Here is a 19,526-nt window from a genome sequence, read left to right on the forward strand (position 1 = left end):
TTCAAAGTAAGAGTGAGAAAGAGTGAGAAAGAAAGATTATGGAAATTCACTCATATGATTATGGGAGTCAAAAAGTCCCACCATCTGCCTTCTGCAGGCTGGAGAACCAGGAAAGCCAGTGGTGTAATTCAGTCCAAGTCCAAAGGCCTGAGAACCACGGGAGCCAATGATATAAGTCCCAGTCTGAAGCCAAAGGCCTGAGAACCACTGGCAGGAGGGCAGAGGAGTCCTGCTGATATAAGACCCATAATCCAAAGGACTGAGAACCAGGAAGCTTTGATGTCCAAGAGAAGGAGAAGATGGATATTCTTGCTCATGCTTCTGCCTTTTATTCCTATTTGAGCCCACAACAGATTGGATGATGTCTGCCCACTTTAGTGAGGGAAGATCTTTTTTACCCAGTCTATTTATTCAAATGTTAATATCTTCTGGAGAACCTCATACAGACACACCCAGAAATAATGTTTTACCAGCAATCTGGGCATCCTCAGCCCAGTCAAGGTGACACATAAAATTAGCCATTACAACATTACTGCCATTTTACAATACAGTGGCAATGTATGAGAACGCCAGGTCCCCTACATTCTTGGCAATACTTGGTATGGTCAGTCTTTTTCATTTTAATCATTCTAATGGGAATGCTGTAATATCTCCCTGTGGTTTAATTTGTATTTTCTCATGATAATGATAAAGAATATCCTTACATGTGCTCATTTGTCATCAATATATTTTCTTTAGAGAAGTATCTGTTCACATTTTTTGTCCAATTTTGAGTTGAATTTTCTTATTAAGTTGTAAGAGTAGTATGCCATTATACAAATATATCACATATGTCACACAAAGGATATATATATATATAATATTGTCAAATTTGTGTTTTGTGAATATTTTCTCCAACTCTGTAGTTTGCCCTTTCATTTTTTAACGATCTTTTAAAAAGCAAATGTTTTAACTTCGATAAAGTCCAATTGATTTATTTTTCTTCTATAGCTTGTGCTTTTTCTGTCAAATTTAAGAAATCTTTGCTAAACCTAAACTCACTAATATTGCCTCCTAAGTATACCTAATATTTTATTTCTAAAATAAACTGAAAGTAAATCATGTACACTAAAAAAAAAGAAGACTGACCATCCAACCCTACCATGAATTAGTGCCACAGAATCTCTGTTAGTATCTTTAAGCTCTCTGTCCCTGATGGTCCTGCTGACCCAAAAGACTATTCTTTGAAGAAGGCTGAAAACTCCATACATAGTATAACAAATCGTAAGAACTGGACTAGTGTAGATCAGTGGTAACCACTCAATACCCTCTGTAAAGGCACCTATACAGTGATGCCTAATCCATCATCCCATCTTTTACTAATTCTGTTTTTCCTTTTCAAAGACTGTAATCAGGCAAAAACAGGCAAGAGTTGCAGCCAGGAAGTGCTGCCCCCATGGAGAGACACTGGGATTTAAACCAACATAATTTGAACAGGTCTTTGGAGACAAAATGCTGAATGTGGATGGGGAAAAGATGCAGATGTTGAGGTTGAAGAGGGAGGAAGCTGGGAACCCTGCATAAGGTGCTGAATGATAAAGCTGGTTCCCAGCCCCAAACTTCTTCTGGGGAAGAGAGCACAGCTGCAAATGAAAGGATACACATAGAAGCCATGAAGCTGAGTAAGTGCTTATCTACAGCCCATTGTTCTCAACTGTCTTCTATTGGATCACAGCCAAAACTACAACATCAAGAAATTCTTGGCTAATTCTGCTTCCTGCAAAATCAAGGGCAAGAATTCAACAACAAAGATCCAGTACAGAGGCTTAGCCCTCTGAAAACTTCCACAAATGAAGCCAATGGACTATACTCAATTTAAAACACAGTTAAAGGACACCAACCCTCCCAGATGAGAAGGAATCAGTGGAAGAACTCTGGCATTTCAAAAAGCCAGAGTGTCCCCTTACCTCCAAATGAGCCCACTAGGTCCCCACCAATGGTTCTTAACTAGTCTGAAATGTCTGAAACGACAGACATGAAATTCAGAATACGAATGGCAAGGAAGCTCATCAAGAACTAGGACAATGTTGAAAGTCATTCCAAGGAAGCCAAGCAATTCAAGAGCTGAAAGATGAAATAGCCATTTTAAGAAAGACCCAAATTAAACTTTTTAAGCTGAAAAATTCACCACAAGAATTTCATAATATGATCAGAAGTATTAATATTAACAGCAGGCCAGTGCAGTGAGTGGCTCATGCCTGTAATCTCAGTACTTTGGGAGGCCGAGGCAGGTGGATCACTTGAAGTCAGGAGTTCAAGATCAGTCTGGGAAACATGGCAAGACCCTGTCTCTACTATAAATACAAAAAAATAGCTGGGCATGGTGGTACATATCTGTGGTCCCAACTACTCAGGAGGCTGAGGTGGGAGGATTGCTTGAGCCCAGGGGGTGAAGGCTGCAGTAAGCCAAGATCACACCACTACACTCCAGCCTGGGTGACAGAGCAAGACCCTGTCTACCCTGTCTCCAGAAAAAAAAGAAGTATTAATAGCAGAATAAACCTACCTGAGGAAAGAATCTCAGAGCTCAAATACCAGTTCTTCAAATCAACTCAGTCACACAAAAATAAAGAAAAAAGAATTTTTAAAAATAAAAGATCCAGCAATATGGGATTATGTAAAGAGACCAAATCTATATCACACTGGCATTTCTGAGAGAGAAAGAAAGGGAATAAGCAACTTGGAAAATATATTTGAAGATGTAGTTCATAAAAATTTTCCTAATCTTGCTAGAAAGGCTGGCATGCAAATCTAGGAAATACAGAAACCCCTGGAAAATACAATAAAAGATGACCATCCCCAAGGCACATAGTCATCAGATTCACCAAGGTCAATGCAAAAGTCAAAATCTTAATGGCAGCTACAGAGAAGGGGCAAAGTTATTTATAGAGGGAACCCCATCAGGCTAGCAGCAAACTTCTCAGCTGAAACCATATAAGCCAGAAGAGATTGGGGGCCTATTTTCAGCATCCTGAAAGAAAATAAATTCCAACCAAGAATTTGATATCATCCCAACTGAAGCTTTATAAGTGAAGGATAAATAAAATCCTTCTCGGACAAACAAATGCTGAGACAATACATTTCAACTAGACCACCCTTACAAGAGGTCCTTAAAGGAGTGCTAAACAGGCAATTGAAAAAATGACACCTGCTACCACAAAAACACACTTAAGCACATAGCCCACAGGCACTATAAATCAACTGCACAAGTCTACATAACAACCAGCTAACAACAAAATTACAGGATCAAAATCATACATATCATTACTAACCTTGAATATAAATGAGCTAAATGCCCCACTTAAAAGACAGAGTAGCAAGCTGGATAAAAAGAAAAGAGCCAACCATCTGTTGTCTTTAAGAGACTCATTTCATATAGCAAAACACACATGCTCAAAGTAAAAGGATAGAAAAAATCTACCATGTAAACAGAAAACAAAAAAGAATAGGAAGTACTATCCTTATATCAGATAAGACAGAATTTAAACCAATAAAAATTAAGAAAGACAATGAAGGGCATTACATAATGATAACGGGTACAATCCAACAAGAAGCTTCAACTATTCTAATATATAGGTTCCCAACATTAGAGCAGCAGGCTCATGAAACAAGTTCTTCTTGATCTACAAAAGGACTTAGACAACCACACAATAATAGTGAGAGATTTCTACACCCCACTGACAACATTAGATGGATCAGAGGCAGAAAACTAACAAACTCTGGACTTAAACTCGACACTTGTCTAATTAGACCTAATAGACATCTACAGAACATTCCATCAAACAACCACAGAATATACATTCTTCTCATCTGTACATGCAACATATTCTAAGATCAACCACATGCTCAGTCATACAGCAAGTCTCAATACATTGAAAAAAATTGAAATCATACCAAGCACATTCTCACACCACAGTGCAATACAAATAAAATCAATATTAAGAAGATCTCTCAAGACTACATAAGCACATGTAAAGTAAATAACTTACTCCTGAATAACTCCTGGATAAACATCAAAATTAAGGCAGGAATCAAAAAATTATTTGAAATCTATGAAAATGGGGATACAACTTACAAAATCTCTGGGATACAGTCAAAGCAGTATTAAGAGGAAAGTTTATTGTGCTAAATGCCTTCATCAAGAAGTTAGAAATATCTCTTATTAACAATCAAACTTTGCACCTAAAATAACTAAAAACAAAAAGAACAATCCAACCCAAAGCCAGCAGGAGTAAATAAATAACTAACATTAGAGAAAAACTTAATGAAAACTGAAATGCAAAAATCCTTACAAAAGATCAATAAAACCAAGACTTTGCTCTTCAAGTAAATAAATAAGGTAAACTACTAACTAAATTAACAAAGGAAAAGAAAGAGAAGATCCAAGTAAGCACAATCAGAAATGACAAAGGTGATATTACAACTGATCCCACAGAAATTTTTAAAAATAACCCTCAGAGACTACTACAAACAACTCTATGCACAAAAATTAGAAAATCTAGAGGAAATAGGTAACTTCATGGAAGCACATAATCTCCCAAGATTGAATCATGAATAAATCAAAACCTTGAACAGACCATATCAATTTCTGAAATTAAATTAGTAAAAAAGATCCTACTGAACGAAAAAAGCCTTGGACCAGATGGACTCACTGCTGGAATCTACCAGACACACAAAGAACTGACACCAATCCTACTGAAACTATTCCAAACAAATTGAAGAGAAGGGGCTTCTCCCTAACTCATTCTATGAAGCCACATCAGCCTGATACCAAAATGTGGCAGAGACACAATAAAAAAGAAGACCTCAGGCCAATATCCTTGATGAACATAGATGCAATAATCCTTAAGATATTAGCAAACCAAATCCAGCAGCACATCCAAAAGTTAATACATCACAATCAAGTAGGCTTCATTCTTGAGATGCAAGCCTGGTTCAACATACAGAAATCAATAAGTGTGATTGACCACATAAACAGAATTAAAAGCAAAAGCCATAGGATCATCTCAATAGATGTGAAAAAGCTTTTAATAAAATTCAACATTGCTTTATGTTAAAAACCCTCAAGATGTATGTTCCTAGGCATTGAAGAAACATACTTCAAAATAAAAAGAGCCATCTATGACAAACTTTAGCTAATATCCTGCGGAATGCACAAAAGCTGGAACTATTCCCCTTAAGAACTGAAACAAGACAAAGATGTCCTCACTGCTCCTATTCAATATAGCACTGAAAGTCCTAGCCAAAGCAATCGCAAGAAAAAGAAAGAAAAGGCATCCAAACAGGAAAAGAAGTCAAACTATCTCTCTTCACTGACAATATGATTCTATACCTAGTAAAACCCAAAAGACTCTGCCAAAAGGCTGCTAGAACTGATAAATGACTTTAGTAAAGTTTCAGGATACAAAATCAATGTATAAAGATCAGTAGCATTTCCATACATTAACAATGTCCAGGCTAAGAGTGAACTTAAGAAAACAAACTCACTTTAAGAAGCCACAAGGAGGGGCTGGGCACGGTGGCTCACGCCTGTAATCCCAGAACTTTGGGAGGCCGAGGTGGGCAGATCATGAGATGAGGAGATGGAGACCATCCTGGCTAACACGGGGAAACCCTGTCTCTATTAAAAATACAAAAAAAAAAAAAAAAAAAATTAGCCGGGCGTTGTGGGCGCCTGTAGTCCCAGCTACTTGGGAGGCTGAGGCAGGAGAATGGTGTGAATCCGGGAGGCGGAGCTTGCAGTGAGCTGAGCCACAAAGAAAATGAAATATCTAGGAATACAAAATCTCTGCAATGAGAACTACAAAACACTGCTGAAAGAAATCAGAGATGAAGCAAACAAATGGAAAAACAATCCATGCTCATGGATGAGAAGAATCAATATTGTACAAATGTCCATACTGCTCAAAGCAATTTACAGATCAGTGCTATTCCTATCAAACCACCAATATCATTCTTCACAAAATTAGGTAAAATCATTTTAAAATTCATATAGAACCAAAAATGAGCCCAAATAGCCAAAGCAATCCTAAGCAAAAAGAACAAAGCCAGAGGCATCACATTACTCAACTTCAAATTATACTATGAAGCTACAGTAGACAAAACCACATGGTAATGGTACAAAATTAGACACATAGATCAATGGAACAGAATAGAAAACCGAGAAATAAAGCAGCACACCTACAATCATCTGACTTTGACAAGGCCAACAAAAACAAGCAATAGGGAAAAAACTCCCTATTCAATAAATGGTGCCAAAATAATTGGCAGGAGGTGGAGGTTGCAGTGAGCCAAGATTGTGCCATTACACTCTAGCCTGGTGGACAGAGCAAGACTCTGTGTCAAAAGAAAAAAAAAAAGAAAAAGAAAAAAAGAAAGAGTCCTTCAGACAAACAAAAACTGAGGGAATTCATCACCAGCAGACTTGCCCTTCAAGAAATGTTAAGTTATTCAGATGGAGGAAAATGATATAAGTCAGGGTCTACATCAAGAAAGAAAATGCTCTGAGGAAGGAATGAATGAAAGTAAGATAAAATCTTTTATTTTTCTTATTTTTAGTTGATCTAAAACATCTGTTTCTTTAAAGCAATAATCATAACAGTACATTGGATGGTTATAACATATAGATAAGCAAAATGAATCACAGCAATGTCACAAGAGACAGAATGAATTCAGGATATTCTGTTATAAGGTAACTCTACCCATATATGACAGGGTATAGTGAGAGTTATTCAAAGATGGACTTAGAATAGTTAATAATGTGTATTGTAAACTATACGTCAACCACTAAGATGTTTTTAAAAGAAGTCATTGATATGCTGAGAAAGGAGTAAGATGGAATCATACAAAATGTTCTATTAAAACCAGAAAAAGACGGAGGACAGGGAGAGAAAACAAAGAACAAATGCAACAATCAGAAAACAAACATAAGTATGATAGGTATTAATCCAACTATATCAATATATCAGTTTAAATATGAATGGTATGATTGGGTAGAGACTGATTCTCTGGCTTATTGCCTTGACTAGGAATTTTAGATGCAGGTTACATGAGAAGTCTTTACTACCTTTTCCATTTTGCTGTAAATTTAAAAGTAATAAATATTATTTTATTTATTCTAAAATTAAAAGGTTATTGAAAACTGATATTCAGCTAAAGCCATAGAGTCCATAACCTTAGTTTCAAGTAGTTCTCTCAAAATGCAATGCATTAATTCCAAGAGGATTTGGTTTTTCCGCAAATGCAAATTTAAAGACATCATTGTCTAGAACAGCACTGTCTGATAAAACTTTCTGCCATGACAGAAATGATCTTTATGTGTGCGGTTCAGTATGGTAGTCACAAACCACATGTGACTACTGAACATTTCAAATGTGGCTAATGTAGCAAATAAAATAAATTTTTTATTTTATTTTCGATTAGTTATTTTTTTAATTTAAATAACCACATTGTACCATATTAATGCAGGTGTCTTGTGCAAGTTGAATACAAGTCTTAATTTAAGCAAGCGACTCACTCTCCTACCCAGTTCTAGCATTAACTTATTATATTAGGTGCTAAAATTTTCATAGTTGGAATTTTGATATTATGAATTTATAAAAATATTTTTTTCAGACTTTAGCAGATTAACTATGAAAATACAGTTCTGAAATATAATATCAGGAGAGAAATAAGATTAATTCCAATTTTAGAAACCTCTAGTCCAAATTATGGACTTTTATTTTGTTAGAAACTAACTCCTTTCATCTCAACAAAAATTGTGTATGAACTAAACTGTGCAACTGCGTCAAGCTATTATCACACACGTTTTTTTTTTTTTTTTTTTTTGAGACGGAGTCTCGCTCTGTCGCCCAGGCTGGAGTGCAGTGGCGGGGCTCACTGCAAGCTCCGCCTCCCGGGTTCACGCCATTCTCCTGCCTCAGCCTCCCAAGTAGCTGGGACTATAGGCGCCCGCCACTACGCCCGGCTAATTTTTTGTATTTTTAGTAGAGACGGGGTTTCACCGTTTTAGCCGGGATGGTCTCGATCTCCTGACCTCGTGATCCGCCCGCCTCGGCCTCCCAAAGTGCTGGGATTACAGGCGTGAGCCACCGCGCCCGGCCTTATCACACACGTTTAAAGCTTCTATCACAGTACCACCAGCTTTCAGTTAAAAACAGAGCCTGGCTAGAAGTCCCTGAAATGGAGTAATCCCCAAATTCCCACTAAAATATCTTTGAAAGCAAAAACAAAGACAATACACAATAGCACTGAAAACTAGCATCAACTTTATGGAAGAATTTTCATTAGTTATTAGGCCAATGGATCTGGGTTGAGAAACACAGGTTTTTTCTTCTAATTGGTTTAGCCATAAGAAATGGAAAATTTATCTGCCTAAAATTAGGCCAAAAAGCCATTAGTCCTCCGGATATTACTTTCTAGTTCATAAACAAAATCTTTATTTACCTGAAAACTGGGTAACTGTTGTTCTTCTGCCTCAAAGCAGCGCTTATTGAGGTAGCCCCAGTGAGTAATTGTCTTTGCATGTTGGGGAAACAAAATTTCCAACAAAAAATTGGGCTGCAAATGAAGGCCCCAGAGATGGGTGTTGTACACTTGCTGGCACCATCCCCAGGCAGAAAGACTGTCAGTGGAAGTGGAAGCCAAAATATCTCTAGTGACACATGGTGTATGGTCTTGTCAAATTAAGTCTGATATGGAAAGGGAAGAAACCATCTTCATGAGATATACATATTCAGTGTCACTGGGAACTAAACCAGGGCAGGAATATCCATGCTGTTGTTTCAGAAGAGGGTTCACCTGGCATCAAATGGAAAGTGAACTGGAAATATAGAAAACTGTAGATTTGACCACAAACTTTATTAAAGGAAGATGATCTGAAACTCAACCAAAAATGATAAGTGATTTAAAAAATAATGAAAATTTGACAGATGTGGAACCCAGAGAATGAAGAAACTATGTTAAGAATTACAGTTATTCCCAAAGATGTAACTAGAAACACATAACAGAGGCCATGGTGAGTGACAGAATTGAATAAAACTTGTCAAAGCTAGTTAAAGACATTATAACTTAGTTTAAAAGGCCAGCTCAACTATTTTCCAAGTAAATATCCATCAACAGAGCAAAATCTACATATTCTATGAAAGTGCCCAATTAACAGGCTAAAATAAAGTCCATAAGGCTCTAGGCAGAAAAAGCAAAGAAACTGGCCTCTCCATCAAGGAACAATATTAGGCTGGCCTGAAATTTTTTTCTTTGCAATATGTAGTAAGCACACAATGAATTTTTAGGGAGAAAAGGCAAATAATACAAGGATGTAGCTCTGCCAAGTTGTCATTCACATGTGAAGATAACAAAAAGACAGTCTCAATGACAGAGGGTTCAGAAAACATACCACTGTTACACCATTTTTACTTAAAAGGTCAAGTGCAGTTATGTAGTGGAACTCTTATCCTTTGCTTTTCACATCTCTATCTCAAACTATAAAAACCATATTCCTGCTTCAGCCCAAAGTCTGCCTTCCTAGGGAGGCTGGGGAGAGGGTTTTCCAACTTTCTTTCCTCTCTAAGAAGGGAAGAACGGTGGAAAGAACCTACCCTTCATTGGTTCTCACTACTGGGGAATAGTCGTCGTGCCTCGAAGGAAGAAATGGACTCCACCGATTCTCTCTGCTGCTCCTTCTCTGCCTCTGCTGTAATTACCTGCTCAGGCAGAGCATGCTCTCCTCTTTTCCCTGTTCCCAAGTGGTAGACCATCAGCTCACAGCCTCCAGGCTTGGAGAAAAAAGGCCTGCAATACATCTTTTCTGCTTATGACTGAGTGGAGAAATTAATTTCTGGGTACATCCTTGGCTTTCTCAGCTTTACTACTGTGTAGATAGGAGATTTGACTCTGGACATCTATTCCATCCTCTTTCTATAGAATATTCCTGTAAAGCTGAGAATGGAAGACCCAACAATTCAATTCGTAGGCTACTTTGCACTAAAGTTCCAGGTGTGATTCAGGTTAGACCAATCAAATACATTTGTAGGAGATTTGGAAAAAGCTGCAGTATTGCACAAGGCACTTTCTCCAGCTGCTGCTCCTATTTCTGCTGGCAGCACAGTCATGAAGGACCTTAGTTTTTCTGAGGCAGCATTAATAGTCCAGTCCCTAGCTTCACAGCTGTCAAAAGGCAGACCATGGGTCATCCATTTTGCCAGCACACTTTCTAACAAGTGGGACATGATTGTGCAGCCAGGTGCAGAAGCAGCTTCCTAATCATGGCTGTGACAGAATGACCCTGGAGCTGGACGTTTCCTGATTATAGCAGTGGGGGAAGCTTCATAGGTGACCTGGTCCTGGGCTGTAGCTTGGGAGTCGCTCTTGTATATTCCATTTTATAAACTATTTAATGTCATGTACACACACACACACACACACACACAATTATTTTTCCTTCTTTAACTAGCAGAAATGGATTCGTTTCTCTGCTACTGAACTCTGACCAATACAACCAGAGAGCCATATACTTGTTCAGGTGTTATTGATCCTACTTGACCCCTATATCTGTTATCAATTCTTTAGAACTTGGCGGGGGAAAGGGATGAAGATTGGGCTCTCCTAAACCTCCAAAATCAGTCATCTAAGAACAGGATTAAAATTAAAAACTCAACATTTTATACAAGGTTGTTATGTAAAAGGATTGGTGGTGAGCATTAAAATCAAATAATGTTTGACTATATAACATTACTGTAAACATAAAATAAAAATTTCACAAATAATACATAAAATATATATAGCCTAGAAAGTACTTATTTAACTACTCATATAGCCTAAAATTCAAGATAAAACTAATGAAGTTTAGGAATTTAGAGCTATTATGGGTCAAAAATAAAAGTGGCATAAAGAATACTAAAAATATACTATTTAGCTTTTACTAAAATAAAGATTTTAAATGTAGCTGGAAAGTTATTTTTTCAAAAAATGTGAACCTCTACTATGCCTTAAATATTGGCAAACAAAGCAAAATTGGGACATTCGTAGAAAAATTCAGAAATAAGGAATCAGTAATTATGGCAAGGAAAAGTAAATTATAAAATAACATATCAAATCCTTTAGATCATAAATGTGAATAATATAGATTTCCCAATTAAATTATAAGGTTATGATACACTGCTTACAAAAGAAACAATAACAGAATGATTACAATGGGTTAAAAATAAAAGCCTTGTAGAAAAGATATCAAACTCAAGCCGAAATAAAAACAGTAAACACCAGGGGTAACAATATTAATTTTAGACCAAGCCACATTTAAGATACCAATTATTAAGTGGGCAAAAATTATCACTTAAAAAGTTGAATCCATAAAACAGAGATATACACTTTCATTTGACAAAACATGAAATAAAAACTAAGAAGTACAAGGAGGAATATGTAGGCACACAACTGTTTGGGAAGCTCATAAATTCAAGCTCTGGCAGACCATATTAGTGTTAATACGGAAGAACATAGATATTTTAAATCATATGTGGAGGGAGAAAAAACATTTGTTCTTTATAAAAAAGAAATAAACTCTCTAGGAATATTCATCTGCTCCTGGTAAAAAGAAAAACAAACACCTTTCTTTGAAAGAAAGTTAAATTTAAACCTGTTAAAATGTTTTTAATTCCAGGTACAAAGATTCGCGTATATAGATATTAATAATAGTTACCATTTTAGTGCTTACTGTGTCCCAGACATTCTGATAAGAGGTTTACATGTATTTATATGCAACAATGACATAATAAGTTAAAAATAAGGAATGAAGAATGTTTGCTAACTTGAAACAGTCACATGCTATAATATGAAGCGGGATGTCAAACTAAGAGTACATGTATTTGTGTGCCTGTGTGTATACATACAAATAGTATGATCAACCTTTGTAAAACATAGACAAAGTCTGAAATGAAACAAAAGCATCCATATAGTAATGGCAGTTTCCTCTGAGTAGTGAGATTACAAGTGATTTTTGTTGTTGTTCTTTATATTTTTCTGTAGTTTCCAAACTTTCTTTCTATACTTCACTATTTAATTATCAAAAAAAATGAGTTTTAAAATAAAATACATAGGGGAAGTTTCTGATAAATAAAATGTCAACCCATTACAATATGAAACAAGGCCCCTTATTTTAAATTTCGCTTTAATAATTTGAAATATCAACCAACTGAACTAAATAGATGTTCCCTTCACTGTAGCAATGTTGAAGGCATAGTTTAGTATATCTAACTAGGAGCTGACTTGAACAAACTTTTTAGCTAGTTATAGTAAGGAAAAATATAAAAATAGCAGCTTAGCAGAGAATCTGATAAAACCAAAATACCACCTTGGTATGTGGCAGACATGTTCTTGTATAAAAACACTTTATTGATTGTGACCAAGGCAATTGTATTTTATAGAATAGGGAAATAAAAAACATTGTAGAGATGAAAGTCTACAAGATGCATGTATATATGTAGGGGGGAAAAAGTCACTAAAAGTAGTTGATATTGGTTAAAAAATTAAGCTACCATACTTTGAAGAAAAATTAATTAGTAGTTCACAAGACAAAAATGAATAAAGGAAAACATGAAACCCATGAAGTTTATGGTGAGATGGAACACATATACTATGTTTTTATGAAATCCAAAATCAACAGGAATAATCACTAGAAAATTAGGGGTGTAGGAAAGTGGGATTATGCTTAAGAATCCACTTACAAACTGACTACTATCTAAAGCTCTCTCCTTCTTCATCTCCTCAATAAGATTTGACAATTATTTATGTAGGTAATAAAAGGTACATGAATGAATGTAAAATAATAAGTCACGCATGATTATAATTTGCCACTCATTATGTTAAGTCCAACACATTTGCTTAATTCTTTCATCAACTCCATGTAGTAGACATTATTAACATCTCCCTTTCACAGATGAGGTAACTAAGGCTTAAAAGAAAAATAATGTTTTAATTGTCCAACTAGAAAATGGTAAAACCAGGACTTAGATACAATTTCATCTGACTCCAAACCTCTGCTCTTAACCATTGTGATGTGCTATATAATTAATGCCAGTAGATATTTATATTGGAATGTCAAATTAATTATTTGTATCAACTTTTCCTCACTGTGACTGCCTTTTGCACAATATTTCAATTACCTTACATCTAAATTAATCATAAATTAAATCATTAAGAGCAAATATGGTGACTAAGTTAGAACTACACTCCCAAAATGTTTCCAGTTTGGAACTGGTAAGTTAGAATTTTCACAAGAATTAGAAAGTGGAAATGAATGTCAACCATGACTCTCAGAAGGTCAATGTGAGTTCGATGCAAAGATAGACTGGCATGGAGTTGGCAGCAGGTTTCAGTTGGTCCTGGTTCTGTACTCTGCATCCACCTCTTAACAACAGCAGTCCCAGGTCCACCCCCAGTCTCTTGGATGTGGATGCACAGAGGCCTTAGTTACCCAGAGTCACAGCTCCCCATGGACTTTTCCATGAACTTTCCCTTCAGCCTCATTTTGGCAGTTGGAAATCCTTTGCAAACTTTTCATATTAACTGGTTGCTGATCTTGCCTCTCACCCTTCAATTCCTTATTGGACGTTCTCTTTTCCAGCTCCTACCACAACTGTAGAAATTCTAATTCCTATAATAAATCCCTTATCTCAAATACTGGCAAAACGAATCCAGCAGCACATCAAAAAGCTTATCCACCATGATCAAGTGGGCTTCATCCCTGGGATGCAAGGCTGGTTCAATATACGCAAATCAATAAATGTAATCCAGCATATAAACAGAGCCAAAGACAAAAACCACATGATTATCTCAATAGATGCAGAAAAAGCCTTTGACAAAATTCAACAACCCTTCATGCTAAAAACTCTCAATAAATTAGGTATTGATGGGACGTATGTCAAAATAATAAGAGCTATCTATGACAAACCCACAGCCAATATCATACTGAATGGGCAAAAACTGGAAGCATTCCCTTTGAAAACTGGCACAAGACAGGGATGCCCTCTCTCACCGCTCCTATTCAACATAGTGTTGGAAGTTCTGGCCAGGGCAATCAGGCAGGAGAAGGAAATAAAGGGTATTCAATTAGGAAAAGAGGAAGTCAAATTGTCCCTGTTTGCAGACGACATGATTGTTTATCTAGAAAACCCCATTGTCTCAGCCCAAAATCTCCTTAAGCTGATAAGCAACTTCAGCAAAGTCTCAGGATACAAAATCAATGTACAAAAATCACAAGCATTGCTATACACCAACAACAGACAAACAGAGAGCCAAATCATGAATGAACTCCCATTCACAATTGCTTCAAAGAGAATAAAATACCTAGGAATCCAACTTACAAGGGATGTGAAGGACCTCTTCAAGGAGAACTACAAACCACTGCTCAATGAAATAAAAGAGGATACAAACAAATGGAAGAACATTCCATGCTCATGGGTAGGAAGAATCAATATCGTGAAAATGGCCATACTGCCCAAGGTAATTTACAGATTCAATGCCATCCGCATCAAGCTACCAATGACTTTCTTCACAGAATTGGAAAAAACTACTTTAAAGTTCATATGGAACCAAAAAAGAGCCCGCATCGCCAAGTCAATCCTAAGCCAAAAGAACAAAGCTGGAGGCATCACACTACCTGACTTCAAACTATACTACAAGGCTACAGTAACCAAAACAGCATGGTACTGGTATCAAAACAGAGATATAGATCAATGGAACAGAACAGAGCCCTCAGAAATAACGCCGCTTACCTACAACTATCTGATCTTTGACAAACCTGAGAAAAACAAGCAGTGGGGAAAGGATTCCCTATTTAATAAATGGTGCTGGGAAAACTGGCTAGCCATATGTAGAAAGCTGAATCTGGATCCCTTCCTTACACCTTATACAAAAATCAATTCAAGATGGATTAAAGATTTAAACGTTAGACCTAAAACCATAAAAACCCTAGAAGAAAACCTAGGCATTACCATTCAGGACACAGGCGTGGGCAAGGACTTCATGTCCAAAACACCAAAAGCAATGGCAACAAAAGCCAAAATTGACAAATGGGATCTAATTAAACTAAAGAGCTTCTGCACAGCAAAAGAAACTACCATCAGAGTGAACAGGCAACCTACAACATGGGAGAAAATTTTTGCAACCTACTCATCTGACAAAGGGCTAATATCCAGAATCTACAATGAACTCAAACAAATTTACAAGAAAAAAACAAACAACCCCATCAAAAAGTGGGCGAAGGACATGAACAGACACTTCTCAAAAGAAGACATTTATGCAGCCAAAAAACACATGAAAAAATGCTCATCATCACTGACCATCAGAGGAATGCAAATCAAAACCACTATGAGATATCATCTCACACCAGTTAGAATGACAATCATTAAAAAGTCAGGAAACAACAGGTGCTGGAGAGGATGTGGAGAAACAGGAACACTTTTACACTGTTGGTGGGACTGTAAACTAGTTCAACCCTTGTGGAAGTCAGTGTGGTGATTCCTCAGGGATCTAGAACTAGAAATACCATTTGACCCAGCCATCCCATTACTGGGTATATACCCAAATGACTATAAATCATGCTGCTATAAAGACACATGCACACGTATGTTTATTGCGGCATTATTCACAATAGCAAAGACTTGGAACCAACCCAAATGTCCAACAATGATAGACTGGATTAAGAAAATGTGGCACATATACACCATGGAATACTATGCAGCCATAAAAAATGATGAGTTCATGTCCTTTGTAGGGACATGGATGAAATTGGAAACCATCATTCTCAGTAAACTATCGCAAGAACAAAAAACCAAACACCGCATATTCTCACTCATAGGTGGGAATTGAAGAATGAGATCGCATGGACACAGGAAGGGGAATATCACACTCTGGGGACTGTGGTGGGGAGGGGGGAGGGGGTAGGGATAGCATTGGGAGATATACCTAATGCTAGATGACGAGTTAGTGGGTGCAGCGCACCAGCATGGCACATGTATACATATGTAACTAACCTGCACAATGTGCACATGTACCCTAAAACTTAAAGTATAATTAAAAAAAAAAAGATTTATAATAGGATTATATAAAAAAAAATTATAACAAATGGTTTCTGTGGGTCAGGAGTTGGGAGTAGCCTAGCGGAGTGATTCTAGCGGAGGTCTCTTGTGAGGTTGCAGTCAAGATGCCAGCTGGGGGCTGCAGTATTTGAAGACTTAACTGGGGTTGGAGAATCTACTCTGAGGGTCAATGCACACAAGTGAGAGAGCACTCAAGCCAGAGGCCACAGTCTTTTAAAATGCATAATACAGGAAGGGGAACATCACACACCGGGGCCTGTTGTGGGGTTGGGGGAGGGGGGAGGGATAGCATTAGGAGATATACCAAATGTTAAATGACGAGTTAATGGGTGCAGCACACCAACATGGCACATGTATACATATGTAACAAACCTGCACGTTGTGCACATGTACCCTAAAACTTAAAGCATAATAAAAAAATAAAAAATAAAAAAAAAAAAATAAATCCCTTATCTCATAACTCATTAGTGGTTCTGTTTCTATGATTGAACCTTGACTAATGCAACAAGTATAACCTTTTAAACAAAACATAAACTTATGAAAATAATGTCAATGAAATATATTTTTTTTTTGGTTACAAGGAAAAGAATATCCAAACCAAATTGATTTTTTTTAAGTGAAGTAGGGGCATTTATTGGCTCATGGAACTTAGTAAAAGGGCAACAATAATTCTGAGCACAGCTTGATCTAAGAGCTCAAACCATGTCAGCAGGACCATGTCTCCTCATCCAGATTCTGCTTCCTTCTGTGTTGGTTCCAATCCCAGGAAGCCACTCCTATCATGGGGACAGAAGAGAGAATAAAATGGCCACCAGCAGCCTCAGACTTACATTCTTTACTTCTCAACGAAAGCAGAAATGAAGAGCTTCTTGCCTATAACAAGTTGAACAAAAGTCCTGGACCTTGATTCCATTGGTCCAAATTAGGTCAAATGCCTATCTGTAAATCAATGCCTATGCCCAGGAAGAGGTAAGCTTTATAGATGGGCTCAGGCTGCAAGTCAAGCTCAACACCAACCAGATGGCATATAAAAAGGAGAATGGACGCCTGACAGATCCACAAGAATATCCACAAGTGTCAGATATCCCTTTTGTAAAATCATACAAGAAATAAACTAAAATAAGAAAACGAACTTAGAGAAGCATCACCCCAGGTTTACTTATTTTATCTTGGTAATGAATAAATACTCTGCTTTACTTGTCCATGTAGCACTCACTATAACTTTACCCTGGTGTCTGTGACACTGAGGAAAAAGTACCAAGAAATCTACTATTATCCAAAGAATACTGATTAGATCGGGCCTTGCAGAATGTCCTTTAAAAAAATCAGCTTTAAAAAACACCTTGTAGTAACTGTCAAGTTTCCAATCATACTTCCAGACAGATCAGCATTTGTGGTAGGAACTGTTCTCAGTTTTTGTTAAAAATCTCATTTGCCAGTAGGTTCATATATTTTTTAGATGTCTGGCCTAATTTCTTTCAACTCTGTACATATCACATATTTTTTTTAGCTACAATTAGTCACTAAGACTTATTAGCATAGTAGTAGCTCCAAGAAACTCTAAACTACAAGTCAGCGTGGATTTTTGCTTTTATGTATTTCTTGACACTCAGGATAAGTGCTTTGTTTCTTCCGCCTGGAATAAGGCACACATCAGGTTTCCTCTTTTCACTCCTTGAGGATAACTATTATCATTAGGAGAGAACGTTAGAATAATTCTTAAAGTAACACATCAAAAGGATTTGGTTGTGTTTAAGCAGTCTCTCAATTCTTTGACTATAGTGTAGCAAAACTTTCAGGCATCAGGAGAAAAAAAAAAGTTAAAACAAACCCTTTACCAGCTGCTACATTTGGAGGTGAATCCATAACACTAACTGACAACTTTTCATATGAAATTCAAAGAGTCTGAAGTTTCCTTTTTGTATTCCCTGAATATCTGTTCTCTCCACTTCAAAGGACTGTCTGCTGCAGAGCAAGGAGAGGTGGCTCATATACAGTGGCACTCCTCTTCTGTTTAAATCATACCATTCAGCAGTTCTGGGGCTGCCAGGCAATGATAAAAGGGCACATGGTTTTGATTGTTTATTCTTCAATAGCAAAGGCAGAGAAGCACCATGAACAAGGGCAAAAACTAAGGAGATAAGCAGGCTAGGTTCTAACCACTGCTCTGCCACTTAGTCTTGTGTGTGACCTTGAACAAATTATTTGACTTCCAAATTACTCCTGTCCTCATTTGTAAAATGAATATACAGTTGTCCCTTGGTATCCAAGAGAGATTGGTTCCAGGACCCACTTCCCTACCTCCCCATACCAAAATCTGCGATGCTTAAGTCCCTTATGTAAAATGGCGTTGTATTTGCATATAACCTATACACATTCTCCTGTATACATATTTTTAAATCATTCTAAATTACTTATAATATCTAATACATTTTGTATTAGATAGGAAGAAAATGTAAAAAGTATTGGACAAGACATCAGAGAAATGCAAATCAAAACTACAATGAAATATCACTTCACACCCATTAGGATGGTTATATTAAAAAAGACAGATAAAAACAGGTCTTGGTGTGGATATGGAGAGATTGGAACTCTCCCATACTGATGGTGGTAATTTAAAATGGTACAACTACTTTAGAAAACAGTCACACAGTTCTCCAAAAGGTTAAACATAGTGTTGTCATAGGGCCCAGCAGTCTCACTCCTAGGTGTATACCCAAGAGAAATGAAAACATGCCCACACAAACACTTGTACACAAATGTTCATAGCAGCATTATTCATACTACCCAAAAAGTGGAAACAGCCCACATGTCCATCATTTGATGAGTGGATAAACAAAATGTAGAATATCCATACAATGGAATATTATTCTGAAATAAAAAGGAATGAAGTACTGATACATGCTACAACATAGTTGAACCTTGAAAACATTACACTATGTCAAAGGAGGCAGTCAGAGAAGACCACATATTATGTAATTGCATTTATATGAAATGGTCAGAATAGGCAAAGCTATAGAGAAAAGCAGGTACCCAGTTGCTGGAAACTGGGGTGAGGAGTAACAGGAAATGGCTGCAACAGGGTATAGGGTTTTGGGGGAGGTGAAGAAAGTTTTCTAAACTTAAGATAGTAGTGATGGTTGCAGAACTCTGTGAATCTACTGAAAATTATTCCATTGTACATTTTAAATGGTTGAATTGTATGATATGTGAATTATATCTCCATAAAGCCATTTTAATAAAAATGTTGTGCGTTGTAGGCAGAATAAATTGCCTTCACCCATAGTATTTTTCTTTTTGTCACTGTTCAGTATTTACTTTTCCAATATGATTTCATAGGCTTGGGAAAGGCCTTTGTGTGCCAAAAATGTCTCCTGCCCTTACCCTGCTCCTGCT

Source organism: Homo sapiens, chromosome 6 (genome assembly GCF_000001405.40).
Source record: "Homo sapiens chromosome 6, GRCh38.p14 Primary Assembly".
NCBI classification, from domain to species: Eukaryota; Metazoa; Chordata; class Mammalia; order Primates; family Hominidae; genus Homo; species Homo sapiens.